The sequence below is a fragment of the Homo sapiens genome, chromosome 14 (assembly GCF_000001405.40).
Source record: "Homo sapiens chromosome 14, GRCh38.p14 Primary Assembly".
Classification (NCBI taxonomy): domain Eukaryota; kingdom Metazoa; phylum Chordata; class Mammalia; order Primates; family Hominidae; genus Homo; species Homo sapiens.
The window spans coordinates 35,310,184-35,336,029 of NC_000014.9; the positions used below are offsets into that span (position 1 = coordinate 35,310,184).

The window sequence follows — 25,846 nt, forward strand, 5'->3', positions numbered from 1 at the left end:
TCAAGGCCTTTTTTTTTTTTTTTGGAGACAGAGTCTCACTTTGTCGCCCAGGCTGCTCCGCCTCCTGGGTTCAAGCAATTCTCGTGCCTCAACCTCCCAGGTAGCTGGGACTACAGGCATGCACCACCACGTGCAGCTAATTTTATGTTTTTAGTAGAGACAGGATTTAGCCATGTTGGCCAGGCTGGTCTCAAACTCCTGGCCTCAAGTGATCCGCCTCTCTTGGCCTCCCAAAGTGTTGAGCCACCATGCCCTGCCTCCTTAATGCTTTTTCTTTTGGGAGTTACTGGATACTTGCAGAAACTATTTTGACTGCTGATGAAAGGCTCAGTATAAAAGGGGAGTACTGTGTAGAGAGCTTCATGTTTTTAAATTTTTTTCATATACTTGTTGATGAGTTATTTAGTATTCATTGGGGGAGAAAAAGCCGTAGCGGACCCTTTCTCTTTAACTCATGTATGTCTATATGGTGGGAAAATTGCCTGGCTAAATTGCCTGGCTTTCAGGTTTGTTCTTTCCTTCTAACCAGGTAAATCTTTGTTTTTTATGCTATAAGCTGACAGCAGATCCCAGGTACAGAGGGCACGCTATGAGGCAGCTAACTGGAAATACAAGTATGGCTATGAGATTCCTGTGGACATGCTGTGTAAAAGAATTGCCGATATTTCTCAGGTCTACACACAGAATGCTGAAATGAGGCCTCTTGGTTGTTGTAAGTATGCTAAGAGGTCTCCCAAATAATTGATGAATTGAAACTTTTTACAGAACATGTATACAGAATTATTTAAATAACACTTGAGTTCTGAACATGTGGTTTGGAAAATACATAGAGTGGGAAAATCTTTATAATAAATCAGAACTAAAGGATAGGTTTCACAACAGTATGTCGGGCATTATCTTTAAGCTTTAGATGCTGTTAGACTTTTTATCAAAGTATTTCCATTTGGTGTATGTGATTTGAAAGATGCAAGTCCTCATTATTAGGATGTTGTAATGAGGTTCTACTGCAATTCGAGATTACTAATTCCATAGAAATACCTGCATCAGGCATCTTAATAATGTAGCTGTTTGTTTTGACCACCCTAAAGAATTAGGGTCACACACAGGTGTGTAATTCACATTTTTAGAATAAATTTCTATTTTTGAAAACAAGTAAAATTGTATTGGGAGAGGGATGAGATTTACTGATTTTTAGATGTGATGTAATAAATTAGCCTGAAAAATTCAGTGCATGTTTGTTTCTGACATTGTGTCATTCATTTATGAGCATTAAAGCAGTCAGTGTAATGATTTCTGTTTAGCATCTGACCCTCTTGACTTCTCACTTAAAAATTACTTAAATCATATTCATCTTGCAAGACCTTGAAGGAAAGAAGTATTTGTTGTTTCCCCAAGCAGTAAGTGGGTACTTTTTTGTGTTGCCCTTATATTTTGTATATATCAAATATAAGAAAGCAGTCAAACCATTAAGTACTTTGTTACCTGTTCTACTGAGTAGAAAGAAATTTAATGATGGTGTTTATTTTAATTGTATTCCTATAATATGGTAACATTAGAATTGTAGTAACAAAGTTACATGTATAGAATTTAGAGCTTGGTTTGTGTGACTTACTAGAGGAGTATATACCAACAGTAATGAAGATGGGCAGTGTAAAGGTGAGCAGGTAGCCTGTAAGTGTATTTCAGTTTGTGCCAGCATTCCCAAAGTGTGTCCCATACACTGTTCCCTGGAACCTTAATAGGTATTTCTATTTTAAAAAAAAAGTATTTCTTGGTCAAACAAACAGAAGAACTACTGAGTTAAAGTTAAATAGGTCAATCTACAACAGAATATTTCACAGCATTTAATATGCTATTATTTATTATCTGTTTCCAGAAAAGGTATATGAAAGTGTTTTTGGGCCAGGCACAGTGGTGCACACTTATAATCCCAGCACTTTGGGAGGCCGAGGCAGGAGGATCACTTGAACCCAGGAGTTCAAGACCACCCTGGGCAACAGCGAGTCCTCGTCTCCTAAAAAAAAAAAAAAAAAAAAAGGTTGGCCAGATGCAGTGGCTCACGCCTGTAATCCCAGCACTTTGGGAGGACGAGGCAGGTGGATCACAAGGTCAGGAGATCAAGACCAGTCCTGGCTAACACGGCGAAACCCGGTCTCTACTAAAAACACAAAAAATTAGCTGGGCGTGGTGGTGGGCACCTGTAGTCCCAGCTACTCGGGAGGCTGAGGCAGGAGAATGGCGTGAACCCGGGAGGAGGAGCTTGCAGTGAGCCGAGATCGTGCCACTGCACTCCAGCCTGGGAGACAGAGCGAGAGTCTGTCTCAAAAAAAAAAAAAAAAAAAAAAAAAAGTGTTTTTGAAGTTTATTTGACCAGGCAACATCTTGAAGGATTAGGGTTCAAATAAACATGCTTGGATAACAGCAAGGATTGGAAACACTATTTTTAAATTGTATTTGTAATTATTCAAACTATTTTTTTTAATCTGTGATAAATCCTTTTGTGAAATGGGAATTTACCTGTTACCTAATTTACCTGTGGTGATAACCTGTATTTTATCAGTTTTCTTAAAGGAAAATACATATCCTAAAATTGATGGCCAAAGTCATGATTAGCAGCAGCTATGTGACACCACCAAGAAAGAGGAGATGTCATTGTATAAAGCTAAAACATTTAATTAGGGTCTTTTCTCTTTTTAGGTATGATTTTAATTGGTATAGATGAAGAGCAAGGCCCTCAGGTATATAAGTGTGATCCTGCAGGTTACTACTGTGGGTTTAAAGCCACTGCAGCGGGAGTTAAACAAACTGAGTCAACCAGCTTCCTTGAAAAAAAAGTGAAGAAGAAATTTGATTGGACATTTGAACAGACAGTGGAAGTAAGTCAACCAAAAGGAGCTGACTTTTTTTATGCTATATAGAACAGTGAGGATCTTTGTATAATTTCTATACAAAGCTATTCCTGAATTACATCCCAGGATTCAAGTTGTCAACTTAATAATGAAATTGATATCATACAGCTGACATAGGAAAATTTGAGTTGCTTTTATTCACTTAATTCCTTATTTCGTAATGTATTTGAGGTGGCTTTCAACAAAACGCATATAATAGGAAAATATAAATAAAAATAGGAACCAGCTGGGCATGGTGGCACACACCTGTAGTCCCAGCTACTTGAGAGGCTGAAGCTGGAGGACTGCTTGAGTCTAGGTGTTCGAGGCCAGTCCTATTTACTGCCAAGAAATTAAAAACAAAAATTTTAGTAGATTTTGGGTGTAAGTCTGGAATTAAAGCCATTCTGAAGATGCTAACAACATGCTTCTGATAAGTGACCAAAAAAAAATTACCATCTAATGCTTTTACGTTTGGTTTGGAAGTATGCTTAAAGGAGATAAAAAGCTAGTTCATGTTCAGGAAGTACTGGGCCCTGTCTAAATATTTCTTAAAGGTTTCTTTTATTGCAATTCATAATTAATTACATAAATAACCACATCCGGTAAAAAAACACTTAAGGTGGCTCACACCTGTAATCCCAGCACTTTGGGAGGCAGACAGATCACCTGAGGTCAGGAGTTTGAGACCATCCTGGCCAACATGGCGAAACCCTGTCTCTATGAAAAATACAAAAATTAGCCGGGCATGGTGGCAGGCGCCTGTAATTCCAGCTACTCAGGAGACTGAGTCAGGAGACTCGCTTGAATCCACGAGCCTGAGGTTGCAGTGAGCCAGGCTGGCGCCACTGCACTCCAGACTGAGCGACAGAGTGAGACTCTGCCTCAAAAAACAGAAACAAAACAAACAAACAACACTTAAAACATTCTTAAATCGTTTTTACTGTAAATTCCTTGAAGATGCAGAGAGTATCATTCATCTTTATCCTTTTCCCATTTCACCCCAAGTGCTAAGTGAAGTGTAGTGCCTGGGTCATGAAGCCAATAAACCTTTTTGTATAAATCATCCTATTTTAATTAATGGACCCCTTTATTATTTGACTTGGTAGAAAAAAATTTCTCATCATTGGGAGGCAATACATTAGAGTTAAGCAGTCTGTTAGTAACATTGAACTACCTCATTGAAACATGGAGCTCCTGATTGACTCATGATTTGAATAAGCTAGGAATGAGAAAACCTTGGAATCTCTAAAAAATACTATATTTTAACATTAAATACTTTTTTTCAGACTGCAATTACATGCCTGTCTACTGTTCTATCAATTGATTTCAAACCTTCAGAAATAGAAGTTGGAGTAGTGACAGTTGAAAATCCTAAATTCAGGTGAGTGATATTGTGGGCCACATGCAGACTAGAAAGGTGGAGGCGTGTGAGTCCATGTGTCCTATAACTTGTGGGGGAAATCTTTTTTCTTTAACTGTCATTATAGTTTTTGTTTGTGTGTTTGTTTTTTTCCCCAGCACCTGAGATCTGTTTTTAAAACTTTGGACTCTATTTAAGAGTCAGATATGAAAGCTTTTCTCCTTATTTCAGAGTGATTTTATATCTAACACCAGAGATGACATAAAGTTACCTTCCTTATGTAAGGAAAAAAATTAGCATAAGTGTTTTCTTTTTTTTAGTTTAAGGCCAATACAAATTCAATTCCCAAAGTAGTAGTTTGCAAGTTTTTCAGATAGAACTTTGGTTATTTAGTGGTTATTTAAGTAGAACTTTGAGGAGCAATATGAGTTACTGATATATGTCAGACCCTTATCTAGAGATCTTTGGAAAGCCCAAATTTTGAATACAGCTAATTGACTTGCAGTTGCTGGATGTGTGTGTGTGTGTGTGTGTGTGTGTGTGTGTGTGTTCTTACTCACTAAGTGACTAACTCCCACACATCAGCCTTATAGCTTCCATGATTCAAATCCATACTGAGTGCTTCGTATAATCAGCTCATTTAATCCTCCCAGCAGCCCTGTGAGGCAGTTGATATACCATGGACCAGGATGCTCTTATCTTTAATGAAAATACTGCAGTTAAATCGACAGATACAAGGAACTACTGGGAGGCATTTTAACTATTATGTGTATCTATTCTTAGATCACAACCATAAAGACACATGGTCTTGGTTGTGGTGTGGGGTACGGGAGTGGTAAACTAAGCTTAACTAGACCTTGAAGAGGTTTTTCGTTTGTTCTTTTTTTTCCTAATTTGTTCTTTTGGTTGCCCACAGATAAGTCATATAAACATGACAGATTCAGAAAAATTCATAGGACTTTAAAAAAAAAAAAACAGCTGGGTGCTGTGGCATGCATCTGTAGTCTCAGCTCCTCAGGAGGCTGAGGCAAGAGGATGGCTTGAGCCTTGGAGTTGAAAGCTGTAGTGCGCAATGATAGTGCCTGTGAATAGCCACTGCACTCTAGCCTGGGTAACATAGTGAGACCTCATCTGTTAAAAAAACAACCGACAACACCAAAAGCGAATCTATCCTAGCTTTTCTTCCCGTAGGAAGAAGTCTTGTAACTTGGGTTGGGGTAGGGGTGAGGGGTGGGGGCAGGGATCAAGTTGCTTTTGAAAAAGGTGCCTTTTTTTTTTTTAAGTAAAAATTTCAGCAAGAATAATCTTAAAATCTCTCTAAGGAACCTACAATTAGTTCTTGTTTTCTTTTCTGTTTGGAGACCTTCCTGCCACCTTTAAAATTGTATTTGTTATTTTTTAAATTGGTAAGGAATCAAAAATCTTGTCTTCAAAAAACTTTGTATCATTTATAAATTCTGTGATAGTAAATATATGTAAATAATTACAGTACATAGCATAAGCATCAACAACTATTTAAACTGCTTGATATTGCCTTCAGTTGCACTAAAAAATGTCCTTTTGACAAATTTCACTTTTTAGAAGTCTAGTAGTAATAGGTCACATTAACAAGGTTGCCAAACAATTGCTTCCTTTCGAGGCAAACATCATTTAGAAAATACATGTTCAGGGCCACACATGGTGGCTCACACCTGTAATCCCAGCACTTTGGGAGGCCAAAGTGGACAGATCACTTGAGGTCAGGAGTTTGAGACCAGCCTGGCCAACATGGTGAAACCCCATCTCTACTAAAAATACAAAAATTAGCCAGATGTGGTGGTGGACGCCTGTAATCCCAGCTGCTTGGGAGGCTGAGGCAGGAGAATTGCTTGAGCCTGGGAGGCGGAGGTTGCAGTGAGCCAAGATTGTGCCACTGCACTCCAGCCTGGGCGACAGGGTCAGACTCCATCTCAAAAAAAAAAAAAAAAAAGAGAAAGGAAATATATGTTCAACATGGAGCACTCTCTGGCTGGTAGACTATTCATAGAATTATAACTTTATTTTCATGAACTTCTGAATCTGAACACTTTAATATGCTTAAAATTTCTTCATGAATTTTTATCTTTGAGCTGACATAAATTTCAGTTATACTACATATAAATGTATTTTGACGGCTGGGCAAGGTGGCTCACGCCTGTAATCCCAGCACTTTGGGAGGCTGAGGCAGGCGGGTCACGAGGTCAGGAGTTCCAGACCAGCCTGTCCAATATGGTGAAACCCCATCTCTACTAAAAATAGAAAAATTAGCTGGGCATAGTGGCACATGCCTGTAGTCCCAGCTACTCAGGAGGCTGAGGCAGAAGAATCGTTTGAACCTGGGAGGCAGAGCTTGCAGTGAGCCGAGATCACGCCACTGCACTCCAGCCTGGGTGACAGAGCAAGACTCTGTCTCAAAAAAAATAAAAAATAAATGCATTTTGACATAGAAGCTAAATAGAATACTTTATAGTTTAGCTTTATTTATGTTATTCAATTGAAATATTTTCTATCTTAGCTGCAACTAAAGAATTTTATTTTCAAGATACAATTCTAAATCTGATGTCAAAGTAAACATTTTTGTGTATAGGTGAAGGTGGTATAATATCTGGGAATTCCTTCAAAATAATCTGAGGGAAGATAAGTGTGTGTATAGATTTTTTAAAGATTGGTTTATAAATTGATAATTGTTAAAGTAGGTTGATAGGTATATGGGAGTTTATTATACTATCCCACTTTTACGTGTGTTTGAAAAAATTTTTTTTAAATCGTTGTTTTTTTCCCCCTTTTGCCTTCTAGGATTCTTACAGAAGCAGAGATTGATGCTCACCTTGTTGCTCTAGCAGAGAGAGACTAAACATTGTCGTTAGTTTACCAGATCCGTGATGCCACTTACCTGTGTGTTTGGTAACAACAAACCAACATCATGGAGGTCCCTGGATTGAAAAAGGAGCCTCTCCCACTCCTCCTACCACCGAAGTGGTTAGGACTCTATATAAATAAAAACAAGGCTTTTGGAAAATAATTGCATCCTGTTGTTTTCACCTCCTATTTTAAAATTTATTTTTGACACCTAATGTACATATTTATGGGGTGCAATGTGATGTTTCGATACATGTATACATTATAATGATCAAATTAGGGTGATTAGCATATCCATCACCTGAAACACGGTGTTTTTGTGGTGAGAACATTTAAAATCCTCTCCTCTAGCTATTTTGAGGTACACAATACCTTATTAGTTTTTTGTTTTTTAAAACAAGATCTTGCTCTATTGCCCAAGCTAGAGTGCAGTGCCATGATTATGGCTCACTGCAGCCTTGAACTCCCTTGTTAAGTAATCCTCTCACCTCAGCCTCCTTAGTAGCTGGTACTACAGGTGTACACCATTGTACCCAGCTAATTTTATTATTTTTTTGTAGAGTTGGGGTCTTACTATGTTGCGTGGGCTGGTCTCAGACTCCTGGCTAGCATTAAGCGATCCTTCTGCCTCAGTCTCCCAACATGCTGGGGTTACAGGCATGAGCCACAGTGCCTGGGTCCACAGTACCTTACTGTTGACTGTAGTCACTCTGCTGTGCAATAGGATACCAAATCTTACTCCTTTTTTCTCTTTTTTGAGACAGGTACTTGATCTCACCCAGGCTGGAGTGCAGTGGCAGGCGTGCTCATAGCTCACTGCAACCTTAAATACCTGGGGTTAAGCAGTCCTCCCACCTTAGCCTCCCAAGTAGCTAAGACTACAGACATGCATCACCAGGCCTGGCTAATTTTTTATCTTTTAAAATATTGACATAGGGGTCTCCCTATGTCACCCAGGCTAGTCTTAAACTCCTGGCCTCGAACAGTCCTATCTCAGGCTCCCAAAGTGCTGGGATTACAGGTGTAAGTCACTGCACTGGGCCCCTCCTGTCTAATTGTAACTTTTTAGCTGTTCACCACCTTCTCCCCATCCCTCCCACTACCACCTCCAGTCCCTGGTAACCACTGTTCTATGTACTATTCACTACTTATAGATCAACGTTTTTAGACTTGGCATGTAAGTGAAAATGTGGCATTTGTCTTTCTGTATCTGGCTTATTTTCACTTAATGTATTGTCCTCTAGGTTCATTCATGTTATAAATAACAGGATTTCATTCTTTTTAATAGCTGAATAGTGTTCCTTTGTGTATATATATCACATTTTCTTTATCCATTCATTCACTTTGAACACTTAAGTCAGTTATATCTTGGCTATTGTGTATAGTCCTGCAATAAACATGGGATTGCAGATACCTCTTCAACATACGGATTTCACTTCCTTTGAATACATACCAAGGAGTGCAGTTGTTGGGTCATAGAGTAATTCTGTTTAATTTTTTTAGGAACGTTCATACTGTTTTCCATAATGGCTGTACTCATGTACATTTCCCTTAATTGTAAGGGTTCCCTTTTCTCTGCATCCTCAACACTTCTTATGTTTTGTCTTTTTGATAATAGTTATTCTAACTAGTGAGGTGATGTCTCATTGTGGTTTGCCTCCAATTTTAAGTATTAAGCCTTTGGTATATGCAGACAAATATTCACCATCTTCACATTGTAGCTTTAGTCATTTTGTTGACACTGGTACAAGTTTACTTGGCTTAAGACATTTCATAGCCAGCACCAGGCGTGCTGGCTCACACCTGTAACCCCAACACTTCGGGAGGCTTAGCCGGGCAGATCACTTGAGCTCAGGAGTTCAAGACCAGCCTGGGCAACAAGGTGAAACCCTGTCTCTACCAAAAATATAAAAACTTAGCATGCACATCTGTGGTCCCAGCTACTTAGGACACTGAGGAGGGAGAATTGCTTGAGCTCGGGGGATAGAGGTTGCAGTAAGCAGAGATTGTGCCACTGCACTCCAGCCTGGGTGACAGAAATGCCATCTTAAAAAAAAAAAAAAAAGCCAGAAATGTAAACTAGCTATATGGTATAATTAAATAACAAACTACAACTTTGGTTTTGAAACCCACTCTGGCCGGGCGCTGTGGCTCACACCTATAATCCCAGCACTTTGGGAGGCTGAAGTGAGAGGATTGCTTGAGGCCGGGAGTTTGTGATGAGCCTGGACTACATAGCAAGACCTCGTCTCTACAAAAAATTTTTAATTAGCTGGGCATGGTAGCCTGCACCTGTAGTCCCAGCTACTCAGGAGGCTAAGGCAAGAGGATCACTTGAGCCCAGGAGTCTGATGCTGCAGTGAGTTGTGATTGTGCCACTGCACTTAAGCTTGGGTGACAGAGTAAGACCCGGTCTCCAAAAAGAAATCCACCCTGACCGTAAGTTGGCATGTGAGGAAAGGCCTTTATTTTACAATTTCTCATTCAAACAAGATACTACTGAATGTGGACTCCAAGTCCCACTGAATGCTTTAACTATAATAAAAGGATTAGTATGATCTTCCATAGTTTTGAGAAAAGCATTTATACTCATTAAGAACCAGTATTTTCAAGGGTAGAAATTTTAGTTACCTTCAGGAAACAGGGCTAGAAAAGTCATAGAATGTGTGTAGTTTCTGTGCCTCCTTAATAATAAGTACTTGAAGATAACATTAAGGAATTGGTTTATATTAAAGTTTAGAGACCCAGCATCACAATGTTCAGGAAGAAAGAACAAACTGTATATTCATGGTAACTTTTTTTTTTTTTTGAGACAGAGTCTTGCTCTATCGTCCAGGCTAGAGTGCAGTGGCGTGATCTTGGCTCACTGCAACTTCCACCTCCCGGGATCAAGTGACTCTACTGCCTCAGCCTCCTGAGTAGCTGGGATTACAGGCACCTGGCACCATGCCCGGCTAATTATTATTATTATTATTATTATTTTTGTATTTTTAGTAGAGACGGGGTTTCACCATGTTGGCCAGGCTGGTCTCGAACTCCTGACCTCGTGATCCACCTGGCTCGGCCTCCCAAAGTGCTGGGATTACAGCTGTAAGCCACCGCACTCAGCTGTAGCCTATGTTTTTTTTAATGTACAGGATTTTTTAAAGTCCCTAGACTGGTGACCTGAACCACTAATTAGAGATGATTAAAAAATCTTGGAAAGTCTAAGGGTAATACATTTTGTGTCCTCTTTTGCACAGAGGAAGTCTGGTGCTGTTGACCTCATGCAGGTGAGTGTGGCTGCTGGTCTCATGCCAGTCCCTGAAATTAGAGTTGCCCCTGTTTCTGCAGCCACCAGGGCCACACAAGGGGAGGCCACATAAACATATGACCAGTAGAAGCAGGAAACTTCACCAACCACATCCTCTTCAGAGCTGTCAGGAATAGTAAAATTTCCTAACAAGGAAGCAGGGTTCTTCCTTGTTCTTCCAGGTTGTTCTAGGATTACCCATCCTAATCCACTAGGCTCTTTGAAAGTGCTGCCATCGTTTCGAAAGTGGGGTCTATGTAAAAGGGCTAATCCTCTAAAGACAAGCTGAATTTCCACACCCTTAGAGCCTTGACTGATGTCACCCTCCTAGAATCAGTGGATGAGAGACTAGCAACTAATTCAGTTTTACTGTTAGGGGCTCCTTTTCAGAGGTGAAAAACTAAAATTCTGTAATTTGTTAGAAAGTAAGTTTTTACATTATAAGGCAAAATCTAGATGAATTAGGATTAAATATAGAATAGTTTTAAATATTGGTTGTTTATGCTTAATTAAAAGAATGAGAAGAAATAGATCATTTTAAATAGGTGAACATTAGGCTGGGTACAGTAGCTCATGCCTATAGTCCCCAATACACTGGGAGCCCAAGACCAGTGTGGCAACATTTTGTCTCTACAGAAAAATTTAAAATTAGGTCAATTGTGGTGGTGCACACACACCTGGAGTCCTAGCTACTTGGGAGGCTTAAGTGGGAGGGTCACTTGAGCCCAGGAATTCAAGGCTGTAGTAAACTATGATCACAACACTGTACTCCAGGCTGGGTGGCAAAGCAAGACCCTTTCTCTAATAATGAAAATAAAAGGGTGGACATTAAATACTCTAATTCTGGCTGGGCGCAGTGGCTCATGCCTGTAATCCCAGCACTTTGGGAGGCTGAGGCAGGCAGATCACCTGAGATCGGGAGTTCAAAAGCAGCCTGACCAACATGGCGAAACCCTGTCTATACTAAAAAAAAATTAGCCGGGCATGGTGGCACATGCCTGTAATCCCAGCTACTCGGGAGGCTGAGGCAGGAGAATCGCTTGAACCTGGGAGGTGGAGGTTGCAGTGAGCCAAGATCATGCCATTGCACCCCAGCCTGGGCAACAAGAGTGAAACTCTGTCTCAATCAATCTGTTTCTTGTTTTGTTTTCTAAACAAACTACCTGGAATGGATAACAAAGGGTTAATGCAGAAAGGTTATACAAAATGCCAAGAAAAATGCCTGAAATCTTTAAATATCTTTACTCAAAGAACATTTTGATTAGTAAGAAATACACATACCAGGCACAGTGGCTCACGCCTGTAATCCCAGCACTTTGGGAGGCCCAGGCAGGCGGATCACTTCAGGTCAGGAGTTCAAGACCAGCCTGGCCAACATGGCGAAACCCAGTATCTACAAAAATACAAAAATTAGCCAGATGTGGTGGCGTGCACCTGTAATTCCAGCTACTCAGGAGGCTGCGGCAGGAGAATCACTTGAACCCGGGAGGCCAAGGTTGCAGTGAGCTGAGATCGGACCACTGTACTCCAGCCTGGGCAACAGAGTGAGACTCCATCTAAAAATCAATCAATAAATATAAGAATACAGATATGAGGCCAAACACAGTGGCTTATGCCTGTAATCCTGGCACTGGGAGGCCAAGGGGGGTGGATCACTTGAGGTCAGAAGCTCGAGACCAGCCTGGCCAACTTGGTAAAACCCCATCTCTACTAAAAAATACAAAAATTAGCTGGGCATGGGGGCGCACACCTGTAGTCCCAGCTACTTAGGGGGCTGAGGCAGGAGAATCGTTTGAACCCGGGAGGCAGAGGTTGCAGTGAGCCGAGATCCCGCCACTGCACTTCAGCCTAGGCAAGAGAGCTAGACTGTCTCAAAAAAAAATACAGATATGATTTTTTAAATATGAGAAATATAATAATTCTGACACTCAGAGGATATGTCCAGACATTCATGAACGTGAAGCTATTTGGGTAGACATGAGGCTTTCCTTCTCTTGATACCTCATTTTTCATAAGCAGTTACTGTACCATTTAGGTTACAAGTCAGCAACAAACCAGGTACTCAGCTCCCTCACTAGCCTCCAAATCCAAGATCCAGATTTGTGACACAACCAAATTATTACATTAAGGATCTTCACGTAGGGGCACACACCTGTAGTCTAGCTACTCAGGAGGCTGAGGTGAGAGGATCACTTGAGCCCAAGAGGTCGAGGCTATAGTAAGCTGTGGTCACGCCACTGCACTCCAGTCTGGGGGACAGAATGAGACACCTGTCTCAAAAAAACAAACAAAAATCTAAAATGACAGCTAAGCTAATTAACATCATAATGGTGAATTAGTTTAAATTTTTTTATTTTTATTTATTTTTATTCTTTGAGACGGAGTCTCCTTCTGTCACCCAGGTTGGAGTGGAGGGGCACGATCTCGGCTCGCTGCAACCTCCGCTCCCAGGTTCAAGTGATTCTCTTGCCTCAGCCTCCTGAGTAGCTGGGATTACAGGCGCGTGCCACCACGCCCAGCTAATTTTTGTATTTTTAATAGAGACGAGGTTTCACCATGTTGGTCAGGCTGGTCTCCAACTCCTAACCTCGTGATCCACCTGCCTCGGCCTCCCAAAGTTCTGGGATTACAGGCGTGAGCCACCACGCCAAGCCTGTTTTATTTTTGTAGAGGCAGGGTCTCGCCATGTTGCCCAGACTGGTGTCCAACTCCTGGGCTCAAGCCATCCTCCTGCCTCAGCTTCCCAGTGTTGGAATTACAGGCGGGATTACAGCCACCATACCTGGCTCCAAGATGGCTTCTAACTCCATTTATTTTACATTCTGGAAATTCCAGCTGATACAATAAGAAATGAAATTAAGAGGTATTGGAATGGAGATAGAATTATAATCTACTATTTAGATTATTTACCTAAAAAAATAAGAAAGTGACCTAATAAAGTATTAGTCTTTATTGGGACAGGCCCTGTTTTAGATACAATATCCTTTAAACTGGTTTAAGTTGAACATTTATAATTTGCTTGTCTACAGTTCCAAAATTCAGGAAGTTCTTAAAACTCAACTGGCTTTTTATATCTCACTTTATTTCTGCAGAAATATGAATGTGCTTAATTATAGGGTGCTGCCCCAGACTCCAGTGGTAGAGTTATGGAATATATGGTTTAGACATCATATTACCACTCTAAAATCCAAAATACATTATATTCCGAACGCATCTGTGCCAGGCGTGGTGGCTCATGCTTATAATCCTCGCTGGGGAGGCCGAGGTGGGCAGATTGCCTGAGCTCAGGAGTTCGAGACCAGCTTGGGTAACATAGCAAAACCCCGTCTCTATTAAAAATACAAAAAAAAATTAGGCGTGGTGGCGCACGCCTGTAGTCCCAGGTACTCGGGAGGCTGAGGCACAAGAATCGCTTGAACCTGGGAGGCAGAGGTTGCAGTGAGCCAAGATTGCACCACTGCACTCCAGCCTGGGCCACAGAGTGAGACTCTGTTTAAAAAGAAAGAAAGAAAGAAAAGAACCTGGCCCCATGCCTTTTGGATAAAGAATAATAGACTTATACTATTATTATTCCCCTGTTGCGGGTAAAAACAAACAAACAAAAACGAAAACAAAAACTGAGTCCAAGTTAAGTAATTTGGCCAGGATCACACAACTACAATGTGTCAATGACAGGACTAGAACACACAATAGTCTGACTTCAAGATGCATCTTTGTCAGGATGTTAGACGAAATCTACAGTCACTTTTTCTCAGATTGCCCCCTTCCCAACCATCCCAAAAATGTATAAAAAGTAAATACCTTTCCTATATACCAGGAATAAATGTTTAGAAAATTATGTAAGTACAGCACAATAGCAACAAAAATATAGATAGGAATCGTTCTAACTGGAAATATTGACCCATGTGAAGGAAAGTAAAAAACTTGACTGCGAGACCTCCTGCTGCTAGATGGAAGTGCTGACTATTGTAAAGTCAGTTCTTTTCCAAACTAATGTGTAGACTTAAAGTCATTCTAGTCAAAATACTAAAAAAAAAAAAATGTGTTTTTAAAACTTAGAATTGCCAAGCAACAGACCTTAGCATATATAAGAATTTAATATATGATAAAATTAGCACCACGTATCAATGGGAAAATAATTCTAGGGAGAAAATAACTATGTAGGAAAAAATATTCTTTGTCTTACATCTTACAACAAAATAAAATCTAAGAGGCTTCACAAGGTAATTAAAAATATATATATATTTAAAAAGAGCTAGAAGAAGGAAAAAGAGACAGAAAATAAAATAGTTTAGTTGAAAAACAGATCTCCACATGGAGATCCACTTTCTAAAGAACAACAATGCACTTTGGGAGGCCGAGGTGGGCAGATCAGCTGAGAACAGGAGTTCGAGACCAGCCTTGAAACCCCGTCTCTACTAAAAATACAAAAAATTAGCCAGGCCTTATGGTGGACACCTGTAATCCCAGCTACTCAAAAGGCTGAGGGAGGAGAATCGCTTGAATCTGGGAGGAAGAGGTTGCAGTGAGCCAAGATTGCACCATTGCACTCCAATCTGGGTGACAACAGCAAAACTCCATCTCAAAAAATAAATAAATGATAAAAAATAAAATAACAATGGATAAAAATCATGAAGGGAAAACATCTATATATTTCACTACTTAAAAATGTAAAATTTTGTTAATAAGACCCCATAAACAAAGTTCAAATAGGAGAAAATATTAACACATAAATAGAAAAATATAACAACAACAGACAAGTCACGAAAATTTTCTAGTCTAAACCTAAAAACTCAATAATTTTAAAATGAAAATTACAAGATAACATATTTTCTATCAAATTACTAAGACTTTTACATTAATAGCACATAATATACTTGGTATATTGCAAGTGTTTCATAAGTATTTGTTGTATGAAGGAGTGATGAAGTATATTAAAAGTTAGCTACTCCAGGCCATGCTCAGTGGCTCACGCTTGTAATCCCAGCACTTTGGGAGGCCAAGGCGAGCAGATCACTAGATCAGGAGTTCAAGACCAGCCTGGCCAATATGATGAAATCCCCATCTCTACTAAAAAATAAAAAATAGCTGGGTGTGGTGGCATGTGCCTGTAGTCCCAGCTACTCAGGAGGCTGAGGTAGGAGAATTACTTGAACCCGGGAGGCGGAGTTTGCAGTGAGCTGAGATTGCGCTATTGCACTCCAGCCTGTGCCAGAGCAAGACTCCACCTCAAAAAAACAATTAAAGTTAGCTACTCCTTTTGCTGGTGGAAGTACAAACATCTTTCTGGAGGGCAACATGGAAATATGCATCGAGAACCAAAAAAAAAAAAAAAAGAAAGAAAGAAAAGTTACCCATTTGTAAGAATGTGTCTAAGAGAAGTAATTAGAGATGAGGAATTGTGTCAGAGTAATTTTTATATACAACAATATAATTTTATATACAATGATAAATTCCATTGCATTCAATACTGTGGAATATTATGCGGCCACTAAAACCTCTGTTTTGAAGAATATTTAATGATATGGAAAACATTTACAAATGTAATATTATGTTTAAAAAAATGGAATAAAATATGCAGTGTGATCCCTGCAGCAGACATTTTGGTACTCTGCCTTCCTCATTTCTGCCATACCATGGTGGATAGTCCTGACTCCTGCCAACGGCATCCCACCCAGAAAGTACTTTGTGCAGTTCTCTGCTTCCCTGCCTCAGGGCTTTCTCTGAAATCAGGAAAACCTGCTCAGGCTGTGCAAGCCTAATACAGCCTGAAACTTTGGGGTAAATAATGCCAACTGGAGCTGATGGATCAATGTCCCAGCTTCTTGTTGGGGGGCATTTCTGGGATGGGCTATAGATGTCCCTAGAACTCTGAAGCTGTATGCAAAATTTGGTGCATGTCCTAATTTCCTGGGAGAAGCCCATAGCTTTTATCAGATATTCAAATAAGTCTATTTGCCAATAAAGGAGAACCACTGGCATAAGGGAAACAGTAGAAGGAAGAGGATCGAATGGCAACAGTGGTTATTCTGGTGAAATTACAAGGGCATTTTTTCCCTTATATTCTTCTGCATTTTCCATATTTAAAATAAGAAACATGTATGAAGAAATTGAAAATACCCCAGATATACAGCAAAAGGAAACTGATTAAGAAATTACAGATCAATAAAATACTTTGCTGCCAAAATTGTTGTTTTTTTTTTTTTTTTTTTTTTGAGACAGAGTTTTGCTCTTGTCGCCCAGGCTGGAGTGCAATGGCGTGATCTCGGCTCACCACAACCTCTGCCTCCCGGGTTCAAGCGATTCTCCTGCCTCAGCCTCCCGAGTAGCTGGGATTACAGGCATGCGCCACCGTGCCCGGCTAATTTTGTATTTTTAGTAGAGATGGGGTTTCTCCATGTTGGTCAGGCTGGTCTTGAACTCCCGACCTGAGGTGATCCGCCTGCCTCGGCCTCCCAAAGTGCTGGGATTACAGGCGTGAGCCACTGCGCCCCACCACCAAAAATCTTTTAAAAGAATAAAATGATACTGAGTCTGGGTGTGGTGGCTCACACTTGTAATCCCAGCACTTTGGGAGGCCAAGGCAGGGAGAATCGCTTGAGACCAGGAGCTTGAGACCAGGAGTTTGAGACCAAGCTTGGGCAACATCTCTACAAAAAAACAAAAAATTAACCAGGCATGGTGGTGTGTGCCTGAGGGCTCAGTAACTTGGGAGGCTGAGGTGGGAGGATAGCATGACTCCAGGAGGTTGAGGCTGCACTGACCTATAATCACACCATTGCACTTCAGCCTGGGTGACAGAGTGAATCCCTGTCTCTAAAAAAACAAATAAAACGGCATCAAAAACATTTATGACACAATTGGGGGAAATCAGGATATAAGATTGTTTACAAAGTCTAAGATGTCAACAATGTAAACAAGGTGGGGGGAAAAGCTCCTGGAACTACTAAGCATTTATAGGACGGTTGCAAGATATAAAGGTAATATATAAAAGTTAATTGCTTTCCTATATAACAGCAATGAACAATTTGAATTTGAAATTAAAACACGACACCATTTACATTAGCACTAACAAAATAAAAGACTTAGGCATATATCAAAATATACACAGGATCTTTATGAGAAAAACTACAAAATTCTGATGAAAGAAATCAAAGATCTAAATAAATGGAGAGATACTCCATATTCATAGATAGGAAAACTCAATATTGTCAAGATGTTATTTCTTCCCAACTTGATCTATAGATTCAACAAATTCCAGTCAAAACTCAGCAAGTTATTTTGTGGATATTGACAAACTGATTCTAAAGTTTATCTAGAAGTGCCAAAAACCCAGAATAACCAACATGATAATGAAAACACTCAAGAAGAACAAAGTCCCCCCGGAAGACTGACACTATCTGACTATCAATACTTAATATAAAGCAACAGTAATCAAGACAACATGATATTGATGAAAGAAAAGACAAATAGATTAATAAAACAGAATAAAGATCCCAGAAATAGACCCACAAACATATAATCAACTGAACTTTGACAAAGGAACAATGGTAATTCAATGGAGAAAGAATCGTATTTTTGATAAATAGTGCTGTAACAATTGGACAGCCACATGGAAAAACATGAATCTAGACACAGGCCTTACACTTTTCACAAAAATTAACTCGAAGTGGATTATAGACTTAATGTAAAAGTTTCACATTATGAAACTTTCAGATAATAATACGAGAGGAAATGTAGGTGACTTGGGTTTGGCAATGAGTTTTCAGATACAATATCAGCAGCACAATCCATGAAAGAAAAAAATTGATGAATTGGACTTTAGTAAATTAAAAACTTGTGCTCTGTGAAAAAAACATTAAGAGAATGAAAAGACGAGCTATAGATTGGGATAAAATATTTGCAAAACACATATATGATAACTGATATCCAAAATACACGAAGGATTCCTAAAATTCAACAATGAGAAAACAATTTAAAAATTGGCAAAGGATCTAAACAGACACCTCACCAAAGAAGATAAGCAGATGGAAATTAAGTATATGAAAAGATGCTCATTGGCTGGGTGCGGTGGCTCATGCCTGTATCCCAGCACTTTGGGAGGCTGAGGCAGGCAGATCACGAGGTCAAGAGATTGAGACCATCCTGGCCAACATGGTGAAAACCTGTCTCTACTAGAAATACAAAAATTAGCTGGGCGTGGTGGCATGTGCCTATAACCCTCACTACTGGGGAGGCTGAGGCACTAGAATCACTTGAATCTGGGAGGTGGAGTTTGCAGTGAGCCAAGATCGTGCCACTGCACTCCATCCTGGCAACAGAGCCAGACTCCGTCTCAAAAAAAAAAAAAGAAAAAATGCTAAACATCATAGGCCATCAGGAATTGCAAATTAAAACAACACTGAGATGCCACTACATATCTATTAGAATGGCGAATTTTTTTTTTTTGAGATGAGTCTTGCTCTGTTGCCCAGGCTGTAGTGCAGTGGCGGGATCTCAGCTCACTGCAACCTCCGCCTCCCAGGTTCAAGCGATTCTCCTGCCTCAGCCTCCTGAGTAGCTGGGATTACAGGTGTGAGCCACTGCACCCAGCTAACTTTTTGTATTTTTGGTAGAGACAGAGTTTCACTATGTTGGCTAGGCTCGTCTTGAACTCCTGACCTCAGGTAATCTGCCTGCCTAGGCCTCCCAAAGTGCTAGGATTAAAGGCGTAAGCCAACTCACCAGTCCAAAAAAAAAAAAAGTTTTTTTAATAACAGTACCAAATACTACTAGCAAGGGTGCAGAGCAGCAGTAACTGGTGGGAATGCGAAATGGTACAGCCACCTGGAAGACAGCTGAGCAGTTCTTACAAAGCTAAACACTATTAGTGTAAAATCCAGCTTATAGCCACACAAAAACCTCACAAACAAATGTTTATAAAGCAGCTTTCTTCATAATTGCAAAAAAACAGGCTGGGCAAGGTGGCTCATGCCTGTAATCCCAGCTCTTTGGGAGGCCGAGGCGGGTGGATCACTTCTGGCCAGGAGCTCGAGACTAGCCTGGCCAACATAGTGAAACCCCATCTCTACTAAAAATACAAAAATTTTTCGGGCATGGTGGCGCATGCCTATAATCCCAGCTACTCAGGAGGCTGAGGCAGGAGAATCACTTGAACCCGGGAGGTGGAAGTTGCAGTGAGCTGAGATCGCATCACTGCACTCCAGCCTGGGTGACAGAGTGAGACCTTGTCTCAAAACAAAACAAAACAGAATAATAATAACAATTGCCAAAAACCAGAAGCAAGCAAGATGACCTTCAATAGGTGAGTGGAAAACAAACTGTTGTGCATCTATACCATGAAATATTATTCGGCACTAAAATAAAATGAGCTATCAAGCCACAAAAAGACATGGAAAAATCTTAAGTGCATATTGCAGGTGAAAGAAGCCCATCTGAAAAGGTTACTTACTGTATGAATCCAACTATATGACTTTCTGGAAAAGTAAAAACTATAGAGACAGTAAAAAAAGAATGGTTGGTGGGGTGTGGTGGCTCACACCTGTAATCCCAGCACTTTGGGAGGCCAAGGCGAGCGGATCACCTGAGGTTGGGAGTTTGAGACCAGACTGACCAACATGGAGAAACCCCATCTCTACTAAAAATACAAAATTAGCTGGACATGGTGGCGCATGCCTGTAATCCCAGCTACTTGGGAGGCTGAGGCAGGAGAATCGCTTGAACCTGGGAGGCGGAGGTTGCAGTGAGCCGAGATTGCGCCACTGCACTCCAGCCTGGGCAACAAGAGCAAAAGTCCGTCTCAAGAAAAAAAAAAAAAAGATAACGGTTGCTGGGAGTTCAGAGTGGGGTGGGAAGAAATGGGAAGTGGAGAGGGATGAATAGGTGAAACACCAGTTCAGGGCAGTGAAACCTGGGTTTGGTATGGTAATCATGGATGCATGACATTTGCCTTTATCAAACCCCATAGAAATGTACAATACAAAAAGTAAGCCTTAATATAAAATATGGACTTTAATAATAATGTGTCAGTATTAGTTCATGAATTGTAACAAATGTGCCACACCAAAGCAAGATACTGATAATAGGGAAAGTTGATGTGGGGTGGTGAACTCTCCACACAATCTGCTCAGTTTGGATGGGCGCGGTGGCTCATGCCTGTAATCCCAGCACTTTGGGAGGCGGAGGCGGGAGGATCACTTGAGCCCAGGAGCTCCAGACTAGCGTGGGCAACACAGGGAGACCCTGTTTCTACAAAAAATTAAAATATTGGCCAGGCAAGGTGGTTCATGCCTGTAATCCCAGCACTCTGGGAGGCCGAGGTGGGCGGATCATGAGGTCAGGAGTTCAAGACCAGCCTGCCCAACATAATGAAACCCCGTCTCTACTAAAAACACAAAAAATGGACAGACGCAGTGGCTCACGCCTGTAATCCCAGCAATTTGGAAGGCCAAGGTGAACGGATCACGAGGTCAGGAGATCAAGACCAGCCTGGCCAACATGGTAAAACCCCATCTCTACTAAAATACAAAAAATTAGCCATGCATGGTGGCACGCACCTGTAATCCCAGCTACTTGGGAGGCTGAGGCAGGAGAATCACTTAAACCCAGGAGGCAAAGGTTGCAGTGAACTGAGACAGTGCCACTGCACTCCAGCCTGGTGACAGAGCAAGACTCTGTCTCAAAAAAAAAAAAAAAAAAAATTAGCCAGCCATGGTGGTGTACGTCTGTAGTCCCAGCTACTTGGGAGACTGAGGCAGGAGAATTGCTTGAATCCGGGAGACGGAGGTTGCGGTGAGCCGAGATCACGCCACTGCCCTCCAGCCTGGGCAACAGAGCGAGACTCCGTCTCAAAAAAAAAAATTAAAATATTAGCTGGGCCCGGTGGCACATGCCTGTAACCCCAGCTAATTGGGAGGCTGAGGTGGGAGAATTGCTTGAGCCCAGGAGTTCCAGGCTATAAAGTTCTAGGCCCTCAGCCCTGGTCTATCAAGTCCAAGTCTCGCAGGACACTGCTGTGGGCATGAGTCTTTCGAGAGTGTGGCCCAGTCAGGCCTGGAGTATGCTACTGCTTGGGAAGCACTGTGGGCAGCGGCTGCAGGTGACAAGATCACAGTCAAGTGTATTTGGGGCTCATCCGCCTGTGCTGCTCTCTTGGTCAGTGGGCAGCTTACTGGTGTGCTGAGTCAAATGCATTTTCAGAAGGTGACCTTGTGCCTTAGGCTTATGTCATCTGTGCCTTTGCTGACGTCATCCTCGACTCCAGCAGCCAGACCAGGGGATAACAAATGCAAATGTCTAACAGTAATTAACTCTTAGCAGCAACCTCAGCCTGGGGCTCCCCTTTCCAGGGCTTGTGGCAGCTCCACCGGGCCCTGCTGCAGCCCCTTGTCATTGAGAGGCCTCTCCCACATCCAGAGATACGAGGGGAATGTAGGGAAATGTGCATTTAGACGAAGGAAATGCATTGTCCCAAATGGCAAGTGGAGTGGCATAAACTTTGGTGAAGCTGCTGACACCCCTTTATCACAAGAAGATCGTTTGGATTAGGGGTGTGCTTTCCACAGAAATCAGGCTCTGGCCTTACTGCAGGGGGGTGACCTGTAAACCTCAGAGTTAACACAGTGGTTTAGGTTTCACCGAGTGCACTACGGTGATTAAGTCTCCACTGAGGACTGGAATGAGGAAGAAAAGGAGAAGCAGAAGAAGAACAGGAAAGACCTGTTCCCTGGGCAGAAGAGGGATGATCTGGGGAGAGCCCCAGCGAACAGCCCCAGAGTGCCGGGCCTAGCTGGGGTTTTCCAGGGATAGAGGCCGTGAGCAGCAGTGCGGATGTTGGCCGCGTCTAGCCGTCTGCTTAATAACTACCTCAGAGACCTGTTTGCCCCGCTCGGTAAAACTGGGGCCACGCTGCTTGGGCAGCCTCCAGGCGCCTGGCTGCCACTTTTTCTAGGAACTTATACAAGTCCTCATCAAGAGGGAGGGCAAAAAATTGTCGGTGAAGATGGCTGTGCTGGCATTTTGTAAGTGACAGTGGTCAAGCTCTAAGTTGTGGATGGACACGGCAGGGGGCAAAATCACCTCCTCTAAAAAACGGCCTAGCGATCCTAATGGATTGGCCGTAGAGACCCATCATTGCAGGGAGACCTGGGAAGGCCACCTGCTTCCCTGTGCCTCTGTGTCCTCAGCCACCTGAGAAAGTGTACTTCAAGAGGGAACCCAGGGAAGAAGGCTGTACAGGGTCCATGTTATTGCACCATCTCCTGTCAATTTAGGAGACATTTTCTTAATACTTCTTATTGATCAACGAATATTTTTGAGCCCCTCCTGTAAGTCAGACCCTGCTCCGGGGCACAGGGTGATGACCAAGACGGACTAAGTCTCCCCAGGGGCTAAGAATTTAGGCCCTTGCAGAGTATCTCCTCCAAGTTATTGAGCTGCCACTGAGATATCTGTGGCCACTTTGCATCCTGTCTGCATCCAGCAGGGTGGCAGTCCAGGCCTTTACAGAAGCAGACTGGGCATGAAGACATTTCTTGTGAAAAACCAGCTTCCAGGCCTCCTTCCTGGGAGGGACTCTGTGAGTGCCACGCCCAGGGCCCTGCAGCAGGTCGTGAGCAGATGCCTCTAATGATTCAAAGCTACCAACAATACTGTAAGAGGCCCCTTTCCTGCCAAAGACTACGTGGAGATCCCTTCTGGGTTTTTCTTTTTCTTTTTCTTTCTCTGTGAAGTGTACTTAAAAAAACAAAAGGTCATTGTAAAACAGGGTATTATGCTGTTTCTTCTAAAGCAGGAGGGGCTGCAGGTGCTCACAGCTGATTTCTCATTTCTGAAAAACCCTAGTTCCAGGCCTACCTTGAAGGGAGGGGCTCCTGGGAGGGAGATAAATAGTCGTATGAGGCCCTGTCCAGACACTGACACACCAGACAATCCAGCAACACTGCGGGTCGGAGGACCCTGCTGAACAGGTCGTAGCCAACAGCTCCAGGTGGCTGCATCCTAGCACCAAAGCCAGGAGACAAGAGCCCTGACTACAGGGGTGCGGAAAGGGGCACTCGCAGCCCCAGGCTTCCAGCCGCCAGAATCAAGTGCTGGGACTTCCAGCTTCCCCACAGTCAGAGCCTGACTGAATTCTCAGTCCACAGCTGAGTTATTTACAGCCTCAGTTTTTCTCTTCTGAAAAAAAGGGGTATAAACCACAGGATCCATCTCAAAGAAGTGCTATGAGGAAAAAATGACACAATGCATTTAAAGTGCAGAGAAGACACCAGCTACGCTGTGGCAGCAGAGTATGGCAGCGCCCTTCCAGAACGGCTCTCTAGTGCTGTTAAGTTTCCCCAGCATCCTGACCAGTCACTACCAAAATGTGATTTCCTGCGAACATTGTCACCCAAGCAGTGTGGTCAGGCAGGCAGAAGCCAGCCTGAAGTTTACAAATGTCTCTCTTCAGCCAGGGCAGAGCAGGTGAGGCCCTGCGTCACCCGCGCAAGGCTTGTGGTTCAGCCAGGGAGACAACGTCCTACTTCTTTCAGGGTGACCATGTTCTTCCTGGGCGCTCATTTCCTCGTGACACCCATAGGCGGCAGCTTTTCCCTATGGGGGTCCCTGGCCTTTAGGGCAAGTCCTGCCCTGTCTAGAGCCTTCTCCTCCTGGAGGAGCACACACGATGGCACCAAGCTGCTCTGACCCTGCCAGGAGCCAAAACAGCCTCTGGGAGCTCCAAGGGGCGCCCCGGGCTCAGGGTCATCTCCCACACCTTCCCTTCCCATCCCGAGGCCTGCAGAGCCCTCAAGGGCTCAGTGGCCCTGGCTCAGCTGGACCCCAGCACAGACAGGGAGGCCTCTGACCTGCACCCAGAGCCTGCCTCCCAGGGCTTCCTCACCCCAGTGTCCTAGGAGGGGGTGGCACAGATGGAGAGAGGCCAGAGGCTGCCACTCAGGAGTATGTGAGTCAAGGCTTGCTTGGGAGGTAGGGGCAGAGGTGGAGATGCCCAGGGGGCCAGGAGAAAGGGGAGGAGAGATTGGGAAATGAAGCCCTTCTGGGGCTGCCAGCTCCCCTCTACAGCTTTAGGCCATGCCAGGGGGCCCTGAAGTGAGTCAGCCCCTACAGAAAGCCCAGGCTTTCTGTAGAAAAGAGTTTCGCTTTTTTTTTTTTTGAGACAGAGTCTTGCTCTGTCACCCAGGCTGGAGTGCAGTGGCACGATCTCGGCTCACTGCAAGCTCCGCCTCCCGGGTTCACACCATTCTCCTGCCTCAGCCTCCTGAGTAACTGGGACTACAGGCGCCCGCCACCACGCCCGGCTAATTTTTTTGTATTTTTAGTAGAGACACAGGGTTTCACCGTGTTAGCCAGGATGGCCTCGATCTCCTGACCTCGTGATCCACCTGCCTTGGCCTCCCAAAGTGCTGGGATTACAGGTGTGAGCCACCACACCTGGCCAGAGTTTTGCTCTTGCCCAGACTGGCCAGGCTGGAGTGCAGTGGCGCCATCTCGGCTCACTACAACCTCTGCCTCCCGGGTTCAAGCAATTCTCCTGCCTTGGCCTCCTGAGTAGCTGGGACTACAGGCACGCGCCAGCACACCCAGCTAAGTTTTGTATTTTTTTTAGTAGAGATGGGGTTTCACCATGTTGGCCAGGATGGTCTCAATCTCTTGACCTCGTGATCTGCCCGCCTCAGCCTCCCAAAGTGCTAGGATTACAAGCGTGAGCCACCCGGCCCACTATTCCAGTTATTTTAAGATGTACATAAATTATTATGTTATCATACACTAGATTTTATTGAATCTACCATTTCACATTCTTATTGAGAGTGTAACCTCTTGAAGCCTACTGGTGCAGGAGGGATTTTGCAACCTTCCTTTGGCTTTTGTCACCTATGGAAAACTACAAACCAGCTTGCCTATCCGGTGATTGGAACCAGGAGGATTGCCGGCCTTGGGTCTGGAAATCCTATCCCATGTGTCTTCCTTCCTCCCTCCCTCCCTTCCTTGGTTCCTTCCTTCCCCTGACTAGGCCCCAGAGGGGTGGGGAGGCCTTCCTGGGCCTGGCATCAGGGCTCCTGGGCTCCCAGCCAAGTGTCCAGAGGTCACTCCTCCTGGCATCTGGATCCTTCTTATCTTCCTGAGACATAGGAGGCTCCTGCTCTGGAGATGACTGAAGGGAAAACACCTGTATTTCCAGGGCCTTGGAAATAGCCTGCTCCAGCCGGCCTTCCCGGGAGAAACTGAGAAAGGACATTGGTCCGAAGCATTTCTCTTTCGGTTTGTGCTGCGCTGAGCCTGTCCTGTGATGCGGCCCTCACCAACCAAGGACTGAACGAGAGGGACTCCATGCGAACCTGCTCAGCATACAGCAGGTGCCTCGTGGATATTCTTCCCTAAGGCTCCAGGCCAGCCAAGCACTGCATTAACCAGGTTCGGATGAAC

At 43.0% G+C, this 25,846-nt stretch overlaps 1 protein-coding gene and 1 long non-coding RNA gene across 9 annotated transcripts in view, besides 3 other annotated features; both read left to right on the plus strand.

The window, feature by feature from the left end:
• PRORP-PSMA6 (PRORP-PSMA6 readthrough) overlaps nucleotides 1-7,288 on the plus strand; it is a 195,633-nt gene extending 188,345 nt beyond the window's left edge. For all 4 annotated transcript variants that reach the window (NR_182666.1, NR_182669.1, NR_182668.1 and 1 more), the window contains 4 exons: nucleotides 557-712; nucleotides 2,698-2,876; nucleotides 4,178-4,272; nucleotides 7,066-7,288. This is a non-coding gene — a long non-coding RNA (PRORP-PSMA6 readthrough). The remainder of the gene's footprint in view (nucleotides 1-556; nucleotides 713-2,697; nucleotides 2,877-4,177; nucleotides 4,273-7,065) is intronic.
• The window catches only part of PSMA6 (proteasome 20S subunit alpha 6), a 38,936-nt gene extending 31,626 nt beyond the window's left edge, over nucleotides 1-7,310 (plus strand). For 3 of the 5 annotated variants that reach the window (NM_001282234.1, NM_001282232.1, NM_001282233.1), the window contains 4 exons: nucleotides 557-712; nucleotides 2,698-2,876; nucleotides 4,178-4,272; nucleotides 7,066-7,296. In NM_001282234.1, coding sequence (NP_001269163.1) covers nucleotides 557-712; nucleotides 2,698-2,876; nucleotides 4,178-4,272; nucleotides 7,066-7,123 — 488 coding nt within the window. In that variant the 3' untranslated portion in view covers nucleotides 7,124-7,296. Of the gene's footprint in view, nucleotides 1-556; nucleotides 713-2,697; nucleotides 2,877-4,177; nucleotides 4,273-7,065 lie in introns of all 5 variants that reach the window. The other 2 variants (NM_002791.3, NR_104110.1) reach the window with 2 other exon arrangements.
• Nucleotides 21,480-21,774: an enhancer, noted in NCBI's record as "tiled region #8744; HepG2 Activating DNase unmatched - State 1:Tss, and K562 Activating DNase unmatched - State 8:EnhW". NCBI's record gives its function as "activates a minimal TATA promoter and a strong SV40 promoter by Sharpr-MPRA in HepG2 and K562 cells {active_cell/tissue: HepG2 | K562}" and the evidence as "EXISTENCE:reporter gene assay evidence [ECO:0000049][PMID:27701403]".
• Nucleotides 21,940-22,861: an enhancer, noted in NCBI's record as "H3K27ac-H3K4me1 hESC enhancer chr14:35801329-35802250 (GRCh37/hg19 assembly coordinates)". NCBI's record gives its function as "activates a minimal SCP1, AML or CMV promoter by ChIP-STARR-seq in naive H9 embryonic stem cells {active_cell/tissue: H9 hESC(naive)}" and the evidence as "EXISTENCE:reporter gene assay evidence [ECO:0000049][PMID:30033119]".
• Nucleotides 22,872-23,481: an enhancer, noted in NCBI's record as "NANOG-H3K4me1 hESC enhancer chr14:35802261-35802870 (GRCh37/hg19 assembly coordinates)". NCBI's record gives its function as "activates a minimal SCP1, AML or CMV promoter by ChIP-STARR-seq in naive H9 embryonic stem cells {active_cell/tissue: H9 hESC(naive)}" and the evidence as "EXISTENCE:reporter gene assay evidence [ECO:0000049][PMID:30033119]".